At 42.6% G+C, this 16,308-nt stretch overlaps 1 long non-coding RNA gene across 2 annotated transcripts in view, besides 1 other annotated feature; it reads left to right on the top strand.

Moving 5' to 3' along the window:
• The window catches only part of KLF3-AS1 (KLF3 antisense RNA 1), a 65,801-nt gene that overhangs the window by 4,433 nt on the left and 45,060 nt on the right, over positions 1 to 16,308 (top strand). The window lies entirely within an intron of this gene.
• Positions 13,295 to 13,464: an enhancer, noted in NCBI's record as "experimental_79860 CRE fragment used in MPRA reporter constructs". NCBI's record gives its function as "activates a minimal promoter by MPRAs in K562 erythroleukemia cells, with activity observed for both the introgressed and non-introgressed 4:38648703 variant alleles {active_cell/tissue: K562}" and the evidence as "EXISTENCE:reporter gene assay evidence [ECO:0000049][PMID:34662402]".

The following is a 16,308-nucleotide window of genomic DNA, read 5'->3' as shown; positions in this document are numbered from 1 at the left end:
CATGAAGGGAAGTGTGCTGGGGTTTTTTTCCTGATACAAGGAAATCCCCAGACCTGCTTTGGAAGCTGTTAGGTGAGGATGTGATGCTTGAAGCTGTAGTAGCCATCTTGTATTCGTGAGAGAAAGCCAACGTTTCCGTTTCCATGTGGATAGTTTTTTTTTTTTTCAAGTCATTCTGTTTTCAGCTCAAATGTTGCCTCCTCAGGAATGACTTCCTTGACCACACAATTTAAAACATACCCCCCTTCCTCTTTGCTATGGTTCAGATATTTGTCCTTTCCAAATCTCGTGTCAAAATTTGATCCTCAGCGTTGGAGATGGGGCCTGATGGGAGGTGTTCGGGTCATGGGAGTGGATCCTTCATGGATAGATGAACACTCTCCCTGAGGATGGGGAATAAGTGAACACTTCCTATGTTAGTTTCGGAGAAAGCTGATTCTTGAAAAGAGCCTGGGCTAGGCCTGGTGGCTCACGCCTGTAATCTCAGCACTTTGGGAGGCCGAGGTGGGCAGATCACCTGAGGTTAGGAGTTTGAGACCAGCCTGGCCAGCGTGATGAAACCCCATCTCTACTACAAATACAAAAAAAGATAGAAGCCAGGTGTGGTGGTGGGCGCCTGTAATCCCAGCTACTTGGGAGGCTGAGGCAGAAGAATCGATTGAACCTGGGAGGCGGAGGTTGCAGTGAGCTGAGACTGCACTGTTGCACTTCTGCCTGGGCAACAAGGGCAAAACTCTGTCTCAAAAAAAAAACAACCGAGCCTGGCACTTCCCTCCTGGCTCTCTTGTTTCTCTCTTGCCCTGTGATCTCTGCACACACTGGCTCCCCTTCACCTTCTGCCATGCAAGGAAGGAGCCTTCCAACCAGCAGAACAGTGAGCCAAATAAATGTGTTTTCTTTATAAGTTACCCAGCCTCAGGTGTTTCCTTTACAGCAACACGAAATGGACTAATATGCCCATTCATTGTTTAGTCATTGTCCTATTTTCTTTTCTTTTTTTGTATATCGTTAACTAAAAACCCCCTTTCTTTTTTTGTTTATTTGCTACCTTTTTTTCTTATTAGGATGTGAGCTCTGTGAGAGCAGGGACATTGTTTTATTCACTTTTTCTCAAGCTTCTAGAACAGTGTCTGACAAATAGAAGTAGAAGGTGTTCCATAAGTATTTGTTAATTAATGTATGACAGCTAAGCTACCCCAGGACAATAACACCATGTTGAAATGGATTCAGGGGCTAGTGGACACAAGCCACTGCAAACCTCCACTTTCTCTTTTGTGACTTACATCACAGTATATCCCATCTCAGGCAGTCTCTTCCTGCTACACAAATACATTTTCTTGAGATTTCTTATTTCTTTTCCAATCTACTTTAGAGCTTTTCTATTTCTTCCCAGGGCATTTCTCCTCCTCGTGTGATGACAGACAAAGCTACCAAGGCAGAAAAGTGTCATGTGCTTGTGAATTTACGAGCAGCACAGATACATTTACCTTAAAGGAAAACAAAGCTATATGATTTGAAGTAAAATTAGAAATGCTAGTCTAAGAATTATCCATCTCTAAAACATTACAAAAGGTGTGGAGATTCTCTGCATCATCTCTGCAAGTTTCCACCTTTATTATCTATCCATCCATCTAATTTAGAATTGCCAGGAAATACCGAGGTTGAGTTAGGTGACCATGAGTTCTGGTGAAGATCAGACTGGATGTATGATCCACTCCCACCTCCAGAAGCTCTCAGCATTTCTAGTGCAGGTGGACAGTTGTCTTGGATTGTGTTTGGCAGGACAGTGCAATCCAAGGACAGTGGCACAGTGGAAATGTTGGTTCTTGGGACCTAACTCAGAGAGGTAAAACAGAATAAGGCTGTAGAGAAATAGCCAAGGGATTGGTGAACTGGACATTCCAAATAGGTTGAAGAATGGGTGTCTTGGGAATAATGGAGTGAGTGACCTGGAAGGTTAGGAGGTGAGTTGTCAGAGAATGGGGACCTACCTGTAAGTTTAGTATTTAGAGGTGAAGCAGTCCTAGGGGATGGTGCGGTCCAGGGAGTGCCTGCGGAAGTGGGAGAACTAGAAGGGAGTGGAGAAGATCCCTGAAGATGAAGAGATGAGTGAAAAGAGTGACTGGGGTGTTAAACATGGTTCCTTGTGGATCCTGAAATTACTCAGAGCTATGGGCAGAGTAAGACTTAGGCCCTCAAGTCATGTCTTAATTCCATTAAAAAAAAAAAAAAATGTCTGAGAAACATGGAAGATAGCCACCAGGAGAGAATGGTTAGAAGATATCCTTTTTCTATAGTTAAATCTGCTTTCCTTGAATCATGATTATTCAAATTAAAAATAATCACTTGGGCTGGGTGTGGTGGCTCACACCTGTAATCCCAGCACTTTGAGAGGCTGAGGCAGACAGATCATCTGAGGTCAGGAGTTTGAGACCAACCTGGCCAACATGGTGAAACCCTGTCTCTACTAAAAATATAAGCATTAGCCGGGCGCTGTGGCATGCGCCTGTAATCCCAGCTACTCTGGAGGCTGAGGCAGAAGAATTGCTTGAACCCGGGAGGCGGAGCTTGCAGTGAGCCGAGATTGCATCACTGCACTCCAGCAGGGGCGACAGAGCAAGACTCCATCTCAAAAGAAAAAAAAAAAAAATCACGTGTATTTCATTGTTTATTGGTTATTTTGCAAGTAAAATATGTCAGTAGTTTTATTTTCTACTTTTTATTGAAAACATATTATTTCTTCTTTATTAAGAGTTTCAGTCAACTTTTGGAGACCTGTCAGAGACCTTAAAACATTATTTATACTATGACTTCAAAGCGAAATTATTTATAATTTCCAAATCAATGTCCTACACATACAAAGAGACTGCAACTTCTTGCTGAGTTGGAGACTACCTAGATTTTTCCTGTGCTGGTAGTCAGAGTAAGTAAAGAATGGGAGACCCACAAAGTAAGAAAAACTACCTCCCTTGTTTTGGAATGAGGCTGTTTTTCAACTATTTTGGAGTAAGGTGGACTCTTTATGTTTCCATCCCTCTCCTCTATGTTAAGGAATAATTATTGGCATTTAAATCTTGAATTTAATCTACTTCAGTTAGTATTGCTTGAACTTTTACCATAGGTCTCGGGTGGGGGTGATAGTGCAAGAAATATGTATGACATAATCCCTGCATTCAAGGAATTAGAGAGAATATATGTATTATTCTGCTTAATTATTACACAATGCAGAAATAATAATATAATGAATACAATTTATTTTATTTTATTTTATTTTATTTTATTTTATTTTATTTTATTTTTGAGACAGAATCTCATTCTGTTACCCAGGCTGGAGTGCAGTGGCACAATCTCAACTCAGTGCAACAACCTCTGCCTCCTGGGTTCCAGCGATTCTCCTGCCTCAGCCTCCCAAGTAGCTGGGATTATAGGTGTGTGCCACCCTTGGCTAATTTCTGTATTTTTAGTAGAGACGGGGTTTCACCATGTTGGTCAGGCTGGTCTTGAACTCCTGATCTCAAGTGATGCTCCTGTCTTGGCCTCCCAAAGTGCTGGGATTACAGGTGTGAGCCACTGTGCCCGGCCAAGAATATAATGAATAAAATTTAGAAAAGGACAATGATATGAGAATTAAATGGATAAAAAGGTAAATTTATTTGTCCAAAATATGAGCAGTAATGTGTGGTTTGGTTTTTGTCTTCAAGGAGCTTACAGTCTTGCAAAAGAAATGACATCTGGTCAGGAAATCCTCAAAATCTTCATGGAGGAGGTGATATCTGTGTTAGAACTTCATGGCTGCAGAAGGGGCTAGAAATCACATTTTAGGATCTGGAAAGGGCATGGAGGCAAAGGGTCCAACAGGAACCTGGGTCACTTAGGAGTGGAGTGAGATAAGGTAGGAGAGGTCAGTCAAGGCCATGTTGTGGAGAAAATTGGAATTTGACATCGGGAAACCACAGAAGGTTTTTAAGCAGGTGAGTGGCATGATAGCATATAAAAATGACATGAAGTTTAATGTCAGTATAAAGCTCCAACAGTGCAGAGCAGAAGGCAGCAAGCAAAGGGTGCATACATCTATTCATGTATATATACATATGTCATCTCTCTCTCTCTCACCCTGTACACACATGCACATGTACATGTGCACGTGTGAGCATTTTTCTACCTTAGTGACTAAGCCAGCAAAGAGGCAGGGTGTACACTGTGCTCTAGGGAAGTGGTCTTGCCACCTTTTCTTTTCTGCTCATTCCAAGTGCATTGCATGCCCACACTTCCAAAACCCTGAAGTTTGAAGCATTTCCCTCCGTGTAAAAGCTCAGTTGCACAGGCTCCCCTGGTACTTGGCTGGGAAGAGGACTTCAGCCTTTTATTCCTTGGTCTCCCAACCTGGCAAGCCATTCTGCCTTCACAAATGCTTTGGAAGTTTTGCTGATCTGTCCTAGAAAAAATTAAACACATGGTTCTCCCACATGAACAGTGGAGAGTTCTTCATCACCCTGGCAATTAAAAAAGATTTGCTAATACACAAAAACATGAAAATGATAATAATGCTCATATCCAAGTGATAGGAGTAGGGGGGATATTTTTTCTTTGCCTTTCAATATTCTGAGTTTTTTTCTTTAATGAGCATGTATTCCTTTTGTAATAAGAAACAAGTGTGTTTTAAAAAATAGCTAAAATGCCAGGCATGGTGGCTCACGCCTGTAATCCCAGCATTTTGGGAGGCTGAGGTGGTGGATCACTTGAGGTCAGGAGTTCGAGGCCAGCCTAGCTAACATGGTGAAACCCTGTCTCTACTAAAAATACAAAAATTAGCTGGGCGTGGTGGCACGTGTCTATAATCCCAGCTACTCCGGAGGCTGAGGGAGAAGAATCGCTTGAACCTGCGAGGCGACTTTGCAGTGAGCCGAGATTGTGCCACTGCACTCCAGCCTGGGCGACAGAGTGACTGTCTCAAAAAAAAAAAAAAAAAAAACCGCTAAGAAAGAAAGAAACGGGCAAGTTGTGTATGATTAAGTGTCAGATCTGAAGCACAGTTTTGCAAGTTGGCCCTTTGAAAGCACCTCAGAGCCAGAGGTGCAGTCCTTTGATTGGGATTTTGAAGGGGGCTGAGTCTAGCGGGGCAGGAGGTGGTGAAGAGGGAGGCTCTAGGAATCAAGGGCAGTGAGAGAAGGCAAACGTCTTTTATTGACTGTGGGTTTTTTTTTTTTTTTTTTTTTTTTTTTTGAGATGAAGTCTAGCTCTGTCGCCCAGGCTGGAGTGCAGTGGCATGATCTCAGCTCACTGCAACCTCCTCCTCCCAGCTTCAAGTGATTCTCCTGCCTCAGCCTCCCGAATAGCTGGGATTATGGGCATGTCCCACCACACCCGGCTAGTTTTTGTGTTTTTAGTAGAGACAGGGTTTCACTATGTTAACCAGGCTGGTCTCCAACTCCTGACCTTGTGATCCGCCTGCCTCGGCCTCCCAAAGTGCTGGGATTGCAGGCACTGCACCCGGCCGACTCTTTGGCTTTTTAAAGACTGCTTGGATAGTTGGACCTGTGCTGGTTCTTGGAACTGGAATTTCCTCTTCAAAATGACACGTAACAGTATTTACTTGACAAACCTTTCCAAAGAAGAAAAGCTAAAAACAAACACAAAAAACAAAACAAAACAAAAAAAACCCACCAAAACCAAAAATAGAAAAGCCAGCAAACTAGAATGAGTAGAGCCGAAGTTCCTATTTCTGAAGAGATAGGAATATATTAAAACTCCTGGATCAAGGTCCATTCATCCTCTCTGGGGGTCTTTTGCCAGGATCTGTTGATTCGACGGGAAACAGAGGTGTCAGCAGTTGTGGATGTGAGTATGTGAGAGATGACCTGCAGCCCCCAAACACCATTAACGTGTCTGGTGCGTTGTCTCAGCAGGAGGGGCTTCTAGCTGCTCCGCTGTTTCTTTCTGAGCTGCATCTGCTTGTCTGTTATTGTTCGTAGGTTTTCTGGGTAACTATAAGCAACGGCCTTGTTAGTTCCTCTTGAGATTGCCCACTACTCCCCACCCTTATTTCTCACCTCCCAGCATCCTGTTTGTCTCCCTGACTCTGTTCCCCGCCCTGTCCCCACCCTTACAGAGCTACCAGCCCTTTTAGCCATGTTTTCTTCCCTTAGCTCATTAATTTTAACCTTTTATTAAGTGTTCTCACATCAAACAAGGCACGTCATCTATCCAATTGTTTATTCATTAATTTGTGCTTTCTTCTATCGTGAATATCTTTAAAATATGTCCAGATGTATATTGCAGTGTGTCTTCCCTTCCTCCCCTTGTCTTGAAGATACTGTTATATACCTAATGTAAATGACGAGTTAATGGATGCAGCACACCAACATGGCACATGTATACATATGTAACAAACCTGCATGTTGTGCACATGTACCCTAGAAACTTAAAGTATAATAAAAAATAAATAAATAAAAATTAAAAAAAAATAATAAAAAAGAATGGAAGAGGATAAAAGAAAGTATGGACAGCTTTGAATTATGTAAAAGGCTTTTTTTTTTTGGTGTGCTTTGCCCTTAAAGTTACTTGCTTGTGATAGGAACAAGAAATCTACAATATATATTGTGTTCATGCTCACATCAATATGTTTAGTTTATTAGATTTTCCAGAATATTTTAGCCCGTCAATAATTGTTGGTTTTTTTTTGTTTGTTTTTTGAGACAGAGTCTTGCTCTGTCACCCAGGCTGAGTGTAGTGGTGCGATGTCGGCTCACTGCAACCTCCGCCTCCTGGGTTCAACAGATTCTCCTGCTTCAGCCTCCCTAGTAGCTGGGGCTATAGGCGCGTGCCATCATGCCTGGCTAATTTTTTGTATTTTTAGTAGGGATGGGTTTTCACCGTGTTAGCTAGGATGGTCTCAATCTCCTGACCTCATGATCTGCCTGCCTCGGCCTCCCAAAGTGCTGGGATTACAGGCGTGAGCCACTGTGCACAGCCCAGCCAGTCAATAATTTTATGTGACGTGTCTGGACTTAAATTTAAATTTTTCTCATTGCTGTTGCAAATGGGTCTATTAACTATGAAACGTTATAGAGTCTAGCACTTAAGTTTTGCAGGTTTATGAGGAATATTTAAACATTTAAAAAAATCATCATAAAAGAAGTCATCAGTGCTCTAGCACAACTAAATATATAATTCTGCCTAGTGGTCATGGTATCTTCTCAATAGAGAAAATTCACTTTCTAAAAAAGAGAAACATTTAGTTTTTTAAAAAGGAGGGAAACACTTTCAAAATTTGAGTACAACTTTTGCTACACAGTAATGTATCTAATCAGTTTCCTTTTCTGCACTAAAGATAAGGGAAATGGATTCAAAAGAAGCAGGAATGGATGATGGTATTCTAAACTCATCTTGTTTCTTTTGCTATTTCATCAATATCTGAAAAATAAGATTTCCCCTGAGATTCACACGAATGTGTCTCCTTTTCCATGTTTGTTTATTTTCTTATGTGGCAAATTGTTTCAAATGCAATTGATTTTCTTTCATTTGGTACTATGAAGATGAGGGCGTCTTAAAGGAGTTCCCAAGATTTAGGAGGAAACAGGAGAAGTCTTGAGGAGCATTTGTCACCACCTCCCAGGAGAGACACTCTTGGTAGGATATCAGCTTACTTTCTCGAACCACATATCTCAAGGTGTTCCCAGTTATGATGCATTTGAAAGTACCTGTCTGGAGTCCAGTCCTCAGGACTTTTCAATTTTCATTAGGTGGTAGTTATCAAATGAGTAGTGTAGTTTGGATAATGACAAAATTAGTCACATTTATTAATGTATTTCCCTTAACTTTCTTCTGCACCTGCAGAAGTACCCTTAGATCCAAACAAACAAACAAACAACAACGCCCCCCCCTCCAAAAAAAAAAAAAAACCCCAGTTAATCTAGACCATTTGGTACAGATGACTGACAAAGATGCATTGTATAATTCAGACACAGCAATTGCTGTGTCTGAGATCTCGGCTCACTGCAACCTCCACCTCCAGGTTCAGGCAATTCTCCTGCCTCAGCCTCCCGAGTAGATGGGATTACAGGTGTCCACCACCACACCTGGCTAATTTTTGTATTTTTAGTAGAGACGGGGTTTCACATGTTGGCCAGTCTGGTCTCGAACCCCTCATCTCGTGATCCACCTGCCTCGGCCTCCTAAAGTGTTGGGATTACAGGTGTGAACCACTGCACCCTGCCAACACTGTTGATTATGTTATTATTTCAATTCCAGATAACAGTCTTAATTTCTGTCTCTCTCTCTCTTTTTTTCTCTTTCTCTCTTTCTTTCATATGGAGTCTTGCTCTGTCTCCCAGGCTGGAGTACAGTGGTGTGATCTAGGCTCACTACAACTTCTGCCTCCCGAGTTCAAGCTATTCTCCTGCCTAAGCCTCCCAAGTAGCTGGGATTATAAGTGCACGCCACCATGCCCAGCTGATTTTTATATTTTTAGTAGAGATGGGGATTTCACCATGTTAGCCAGGCTGGTCTCAAACTCCTGACCTCAAGTGATCTGCCCACCTCGGCCTCCCAAAGTGCTGGGGTTACAGGCGTGACCCACCGCACCTGGCCCAGATAATGGTCTTTCTATTCCATCATCTTTAGAAATTAGGAAAGGAAGGCAAAAATTTTTAGCCTGTTTTAAAGAAAACCTTTCCTGTATCATTGTTTTAAACAGATATGTGTATCATTCACCTTTTCTTTTCAAATCTGAAAAACAAATTCTCCAAAAAATTTTAAATTGTTTTTATACTCTAGAATTATTACCAGCACTACCACTCTGTGCACTTTACATTTCTAGTTAGCAGCTGGGCACGGTGGCTCATGCCTATAATCCCAGCACTTTGGGAGGCTGAGGCAGGTGGATCATTGGAGGCCAGGAGTTGGAGACCAGCCTGGCCAACATGGTGAAATCCTGTCTCTACTAAAAATACAAAAATTAGCTGGGTGCAGTGGCACACACCTGTGATCCCAGCACTTTGGGAGGCCGAGCAGGGGGCGGATCACTTAAGGTCAGCAGTTCGAGACTACTCTGGCCAACATGGTGAAACCCTGTCTCTAGTAAAAATACAAAAATTAGCTGGGTGCAGTGACACATGCCTGTATTCCCAAGCTACTCAGGAGGCTGAGGCAGGAGAATCGTTGCAGTGAGCTGAGATCGCGCCACTGCACTCCAGCCTAGGTGACAGCAAGACTGTCTCAAAAACAAAAACAAAAACAAACACAAACCCAAATACATTTCTAGTTTGCTTGAACTCTTGTAGTTGTTTATAAGCTACTTAGAGCAAGGGCTTTGTCTTTTTTATAGTTTCTGTTACAATTTTTATACTTAACAGACAGTTCTATATTTTTCTAACAACTAATTTCCTTGGCCATAAAAATAACTTTTCTTATTCTTTTCTTTTTTCTTTTTTTTTTTTTTTTGAGACAGAGTCTCACTGTCACCCAGGCTGGAGTGAAGTGGCGCAATCTCAGCTCACTGTAACCTCTGCTGCCTGGGTTCAAGCCATTCTCCTGCCTCAGCCTCCCAAGTAGCTGGGATTACAGGTGCCTGCCGTCGCGTCTGGCTAAGTTTAGTATTTTTAGTAGAGACGAGGTTTCACCATGTTGGCCAGGCTGATCTCGAACTCCTGACCTCATGATCCACCCACCTTGGCCTCCCAAAATGCTGGGATTATAGGCGTGAGCCACTGTGCCCGGACATATACATGACTTTTAAAATTTGAATTTATTTCTCCATAAATAGGATGCTTATACTATTATTTATCTAGTATTGATTTGTATTTTTATATCTTATACCTTATGGCTTATCACTTGCTTTAGTACCTCTGTTATATTCTTGAAAGTATCAACTTTACTCAAAATAGTATAATTTAAAGCCATTTCTCAAGGAAAATATTAAATATAATTAAATTTAATTATAATATTTAATAATTACATATTATATTTAAAGTATTATAATTAAGAGTTTCATATAAAACGTCCTTTTATATCACATAAAAATGGATGTCCTATTGAAAGGAGAAAAATTCTCTTGTCCCCCTTGTAGGGCATGCGATGGGGTGTGGCTTGGACTCGCTTCTTCGGTGCCCTGCTCCTCAAAACCCCTAGGGGTGGCTGGGCTCCGTAGCTTATGCCTGTAATCCCAGCACTTTGGGAGGCTGAGCTGGGCAGATCGCTTGAGGTCAGGAGCTCGAGACCAGCCTGGCCAAGATGGTGAAACCCTGTCTCTACTATAAATACCAGAATTAGCTGGGCGTGGTGGCACACGCCTGTATCCCAGCTACTCAGGAAGCTGATGCAGGAGAATTGCCTGAACCTGGGAGGTGGAGGTTGCAGTGAGCTGAGATCACACCACTGCACTCCAGCCTTGGCAACAAAGCAAGACTGTCTCAAGAAAAAAAACAAAAAACAAAAAACCCTAGGGGGAGCAGGCAGATGGGCAGGTCATGGGGAGTGTGGACTCCAGCCCCATGGCAGCGTCTAGGGGTGAATGTTTACCGCTCCTGAAGCCCCAGTGGGCGTGTGTTACCATGTGCTCTTTTAGTTTAGCCATCCGTAGGTGGCTTGTGTCAGTCAGCTCAATGAGACCCCCTGCGTTATTGCAAGGACAGAGGACTTTCTGCATCTTGGGGTTTCTTGCCTTGGTGTACTAGAAAAATTGGATCACACATGGGCTTGGAGAATGAGTGCAAGGTTTTTGGTTTTTTGTTTTGAGACAGAGTCTCACTCTGTTGCCCAGGCTGGAGTGCAGTGGCACCATCTTGGCTCACTGCAACCTCTGCCTCTTGGGTTTAAGTGATTCTCCTGCCTCAGCCTCTCAAATAGTTGGGACTACAGGCATGTGCCACCACACCCAGCTCATTTTTGTATTTTTGGTAGAGATGGGTTTTACCGTGTTGGCCAGGCTGGTCTCGAACTCCTGATCTCAAGTGATCTACTTGCCTCAGCCTCCCAAAGTGCTGAGATTACAGGTGTGAGCCACCACGCCCGGCCTGAGTGCAAGATTTTATTGAGTTAAAATAGCTCTCGGCAGGTGGGGGAGCCAGAAGGGGGATAGAATGTGAAGGTGGTTTTCCCCTGGAGTCCAGCCACTCAGCAGCCTGGGCCCTCCTCCGACCACTCTGGCCAAACTGTGTTGTTCCCCCGGTTGACGGCCTGCCAGTGTCTGTCGGTGTACTCTTATGCCAGTGCGTTCCTCTTGTGTTCTTCCGCTGGTGCGTTCCTCTTAACGTCCAGCCGCTTGTGTCTCTGCCTGCTAGGGTCTCAGGGTTTTTATAGGCACAGGATGGGGGCATGGCAGGCTGGAGTGGTCTTGGGAAATGCAACATTTAGGCAGGAAAACAGAAATGCCTGTCCTCACATAGGTCCGTGGGCACAGGCTCACGGGTGGAGCTCTAGCCAGGGACCACACCCTTCCCTTCCCTTCCCTACACTTCCCTGCCCTCCTCTAGTATCATTGTTATGTCACATAAAAATATTAGACTGGGGGTTAAATGAAGAATGCTTACTGAAATAGCCAAGGACTGACATTCGTGCTTATGTGTGAGGTTAGGAACCACTCTCCTGCCTCATCCTAACTACCTTTATTTATCATATTGCTTGGATGCAATTATATGAAAAGAAATATAGCAACAAAATTTTTAAAGGTCATATGAAGATGGGATCAAGCAGCTAGAAAGCCACTTGAGGAATATTACACTGCTTTTTCCCATTAAATTAGAGAAAATAATTTTTTTTTTTTTTGGAGACAGGGTCTCCCTCTGTCACCGAGGCTGGAGTGCAGTGGCACAATCTCAGGTCACTGCAGCCTTGACCGTCCAGGCTCAAGTGATCCTCTCACCTCAGCCTTCCAGGTCGTTGGGACTACAGGCACACGCCACCGTGACTGGCTAATTTTTTGTATTTTCACCATGGTGCCCAGGCTGGTCTCTGAACTCTTGAGCTGCCTCGGCCTCCCAAAGTGCTGGGATTACAGGCGTGAGCCACTGTGCCTGGCCAAGAGAAAAGAATTTGTTTGACATTGGCTCATGTTTCATATCAAGTGAATCAGAAGAATCAGATATTTTTTAAAAAAGTAATTAATTCTTTATGGTATTCCTTCTACCTATGATTGCACAAACACACATTAACTGTTTGCCAAAGCCCACAAAACAGCTGAAGTGTATTTCTTGGTCCTGCTGCTGATCTGGTTATCTGAGGCAAATGCCTACTTAATCAAAAAAACAGCAAGAGGGGAGCCAGGTAAGGTGGCTCACGCCTGTAATACCAGCACTTTGGGAAGCAGAGGCGGGAGAATCGCTTGATCCCAGGTGTTCAAGACCAACCTGGACAACATAGTGAAACCCTGTCTCTACAAAAAATAGAAAAATTAGCCAGGTGTGGTGGTGCGTGCCTGTAGTCCCAGCTACTCAGGAGGCTGAAGTGGGAGGATCCCTTGAGCCTGAGAGGTTGAGGCTGCAGTGAACCATGATTGTGCCACTGCATTCCAGCCTGGGCAAGAGAGTAAGACCCAGTCTCAAAAACAAGAAAAAGAACAAGTGGCAAGAGGAATAGTATGAAGCCTTGGGAAGGAAATGCCCAGCATTAATCAAATAGATATTATTCAAAAGTAGGGCATGATGGATATTTATTATACTGGTGTTAACGGTAAAGCGATACCTTTTGGAAGTGACAGCATCACTTTGAACTATGTTATTGTAGTTCTTCTCTATTTCCCACTTTGAGTAGAACTTGTGCTCAAGTTGTTAATGTTAACAGACTTTGATTTGCCAGTGCCTTCTCTGGCTCCCTGTGCTTTCAAGGCTGGGGTTGTGTGTAAATGCTGACTGTGTATTTTCCAGTGATTTAATTAAAATCTCTTTATAATATTTGCTGGACTCCAACCTAGATAGGGTAGAATTAAGTCTTTTAAAAGTTCCTGTCCTCAAGGAGTTTTTAACCTAGAATAGAAACCAGATAAACTCACACAAATATAACTAATGGTATGAGGAAGTAAGTGATACATTAAAAAAAAAAAAGTCCCTAAAGAAAGTGGTATTACTTTATTACTTTGGCTTCAGAGGATGAAGAAGGCTTCATGTGAGAAGAGGGGTTTGAGCTGAGCCTAGCAGGATGGTATTTCTGGAAGTGATGCAGAGACCAGTGTGGTTTCAGCAGATGGATCCTGTGGGGGACTTGGGGAAATGAGGTTGGACTGGCAAGAGAGAGAGCTATGCAGTGCTTAAATTTAGGCCAAGGAGTTTGGATGTTAAACAATTAAGGATGTACTCTACCAAAATTGGATTTTCCAAGACCAGCATGGATTTCATGACATTTTGCCCTTTCCAATTAAGGTGATTTAAGTGTGACAATATTTAAAATTTAACAAAGCTTATATATATATATATTTAAAAATCAGGTAATACATTTTTTTTCAGACTGTGTTCTAATTTGGTATTTGGAAATAGAATCATTTATCCAGTCTTCAAATATTTGCTAAATATCTGTGCCAGGCTCAGGATTGGACATTTATGGAATAGGTCAACAATTATTTATTAGGTGCTTACTATGGGCCAGGCTGTGTCCTAGGCACTTAGGGTACAGTATAGAGCAAAAAGAAAAACACTTGCCCTCATGGAGCTTTTATTCTAGTGGTATGTTAGTTTGCTAGGGCTGCCATAGCTGGGTGGCTTAAACAACAGATGTTTATTTTCCTGCAGTTCTGTAGGTTGGAAGTTCATGATCAAGGTGGTGTTGGCAGGGCTGGTTTCTTCAGGGGAGCTGTGCGGGAAGGATCTGCTCCAGACTTCTTCTTGTTGACTTGTAGATGGCCCTCTTCTCCCTTTGTCTTCACATTGTCTTCCCTCTGTCTGCATCCAGATTTTCTCTTAAAGAACATCGGTCATATTACATTAGGTCCTACTCTAATGACCTCATTTGAACTTAATTACTTCTGTAAAGACCCTATCTCCAAATACAGTCACATTGGGCTGGGCATGGTGTCTCACACCTGTAATCCCAGCACTTTGGGAGGCTTAGATGGGCGGATCACTTGAGCCTGGGAGTTTGAGACCAGCCTGGGCAACACAGCAAGACCTTGTCTCTACAAAAAATACAAAAATTAGCCAAGCATGGTGGTGTGTGCCTGTAGTCCCAGCTTCTTGGGAGGCTGAGGTGGGAGGATTGCTTGACCCTGGGAGGTTGAGACCAGCTTGGACAATGTGGCGAAACTCCATCTCTACAAAAAACTAGCCAGGTGTGGTGGCGTGTGCCTGTAGTCCCAGCTGCCCAGGAGGCTGAGGTGGAAGGATCATCTGAGACTGGACAGTCGAGGCTGCAGTGAGCCGTGATCACACCACTGCACTCCAGCCTGGGTGATGGAGTGAGACCTTGTCTCAAAAAACAAGCAAACAAACACAACCCAAATGCAGTCATATTCTTGGATATGAAGGGTTAGGACTTCAACATGAATTGTGGCTAGGGACACAGTTCTGCCTGTAACAAGTGGAAATTGGTGATAAAGCAGTGAATAAACCCTAGAAGTTGGGTGGTCGTTTGCAATGTGGCAGGCACTGTACCAGGCATGTTCGTGTGCATCATTTCATTGAATGCTTGTAACCAACCTGTGAGATAGGTGTTGTTATCTCCACTTTACAGTGAGGAAACTGAGGGCAGACCACGTTTGTTCATAGGGAGGTTTGCTTTTGTGATAGTATGTTTAATGCTTTCATTGGGTCAAAGCCTTGGAAATAGAAATTGAGCTACAGCTAAATGTGTAGCTGAATTCATGGTGAATTCAGATTCAGAGCAGACCAAAGTCTGGATGTTAAAATAGAGCTGGGGGTGGGGAAGGTTGGTTTGTTTGTTTTACATTAGGTTCTAAGAATAAAACCAAAGATAGGAGGCTTTTGTTGTTGTTGTTTTTGTTTTTCTTTCGAGACAGAGTCTCGCTGTGTCGTCCAGGCTGGAGTGCAGTGGCACAATCTCAGCTCACTGCAACCGCCACCTCCCAGGTTCAAGCGATTCTCCTGCCTCAGCCTCCCAAGTAGCTGGAATTACAGGTGCACACCACCATGTCTGGCTAATTTATTTTTGTATTTTTAGTAGAGACGGGGTTTCGCCATGTTAACGAGGCTGGTCTTCAACTCCTGACTTCAAGTAATCTGCCCGCCTTGGCCTCCCAAAGTGCTGGGATTACAGGCATGAGCCACACATCTGGCCAGGAGTAATCTTTACAATTAAGTATGTTTTTTTTCTCTGTAGACAGTCCAGTATATTATATAATAACATTTTTATATATAATAAAACATTATTATACAAATTTATAATGATAATTCTAATAATTTATGGTAAATATATAATCATTTTACATATAGCCTACATTTTATATAGTACTGATCATTTCCTTTTGATTATCTAGATTCAAATAAGTTTATAGGTCATTTTTGACCTGTACCTTTTGATTTATCCCCAGATTAGGAGCCTGCCTGGGCACTCCTCCTGTGGGAGAAATCCTCTTTGCATCAATCAAAAGCTTTGCTTTTGATTCAACCCTGCAGCTCCTCTGGTGGGCAGATTCGGATTCAGCAAACACTTATGGAGGTCCTGCCCACCATGTAGCAGGTCATTTTACATCAATCCATGTTTCTCAAAAATATGGAAAAGCAAAGGATAATATGGTGCGTGTTCTATAAACATCCATTTTATACCATTATTTTATGAAATAAAAATCTAAATTAACTGATGAATAATTTAAAACAGAATTTCAACATTGAGACAATGTAGATATATATTATGGTATAAAATGAAGCATTTGCACGAACTTTTTAGCTAAAATTTGTTTCAAAGAAGTTGCTTTTGTTTTTAGTGTACCTTGAGTTCAACACAGATGTGAATGCCCGCTTTTTCCAGAAGGGTTCTTGGGAGAAAACACTGGAGAAGTTCTAAGCACTTTTTTTTTTTTTTTTTTTTTTTTAGAGATGGTTTCTTACTCTGTTGTTCAGGCTGGAGTGCAATGTTGCAATCATAGCTCACTGCAGCCTTGACCTCCTGGCCTCAAGTGATACCCCTGTCTCAGCCTCTCGAGTAGCTGGGACTACAGGCATGCGCCACCACACCCAGTTTGAACACTATTCATCCAAGTTTCATAACAACCATATGAGGTGTATAATCCTCATTTAAGAGATCAGAAAACAGAAGCTGAGATAAATTATCTTGTCTTAGTTAATACAGTAAGTAAATAGCAGAGGCAGATGTGAAGCTTCCTGGCTCTAATTCCAGGGCATTTTCTATTGCACTAAAGCCACTCCT

This window comes from Homo sapiens, chromosome 4 (assembly GCF_000001405.40).
Source record: "Homo sapiens chromosome 4, GRCh38.p14 Primary Assembly".
In the NCBI taxonomy this organism is placed as follows: domain Eukaryota; kingdom Metazoa; phylum Chordata; class Mammalia; order Primates; family Hominidae; genus Homo; species Homo sapiens.
This window is presented reverse-complemented; position numbering and strand designations above follow the sequence as displayed.